This window comes from Homo sapiens, chromosome 1 (genome assembly GCF_000001405.40).
Source record: "Homo sapiens chromosome 1, GRCh38.p14 Primary Assembly".
NCBI classification, from domain to species: Eukaryota; Metazoa; Chordata; class Mammalia; order Primates; family Hominidae; genus Homo; species Homo sapiens.
The window spans coordinates 224,782,875-224,783,390 of NC_000001.11; the positions used below are offsets into that span (position 1 = coordinate 224,782,875).

The 516-nt window shown below is 45.0% G+C and overlaps 1 annotated feature.

Moving 5' to 3' along the window:
• Nucleotides 307-516: an enhancer, noted in NCBI's record as "active region_2618". NCBI's record gives its function as "activates an Ori minimal core promoter by ATAC-STARR-seq in GM12878 lymphoblastoid cells {active_cell/tissue: GM12878}" and the evidence as "EXISTENCE:reporter gene assay evidence [ECO:0000049][PMID:35858748]".

The following is a 516-nucleotide window of genomic DNA, read 5'->3' on the forward strand; positions in this document are numbered from 1 at the left end:
GGGCTTGTTTCTGTGTAGGTGGGTGGGCTAAGGGCCATGTGCATTAGGACAGATGAGGTCTGGGATATTCAGGTGACCTATACAATGAATAGATCTCTTCTAGCAATCCCATCAAAGAGTGTGTGCTTGAAGATGTAAACACTGATTTCACAGCCCACCTCCAACACAAATAAGGTGTGTTGGTGACACATCGCAGAGTGAAGTCACAGTGTCTGCATCTGTGAAATGTACATGATAATGAATGTTTATCCAGTTGTTATCGAATGCCCAGGGTTTAGTCTAGGTCCTGTTGCTTGCTGCATAGAAAGTTAATCACTGAGACCATGATTATTGCCAGGGAGGCTTTATTCGGGTGATGTCAACTGAAGAGATGGAGACAAGCCTCAAGTCTATCTCTTCTCCCATCTAAAATTATGGGTTGATTTAGCTGGGAAGGAAAACAGAAGGGGCAAGGAAGAGGAGTTGGTCAGCAGGCAGCAGGTGGTCAAATGAGGGTTCTGGTGTCTCATTGTAATC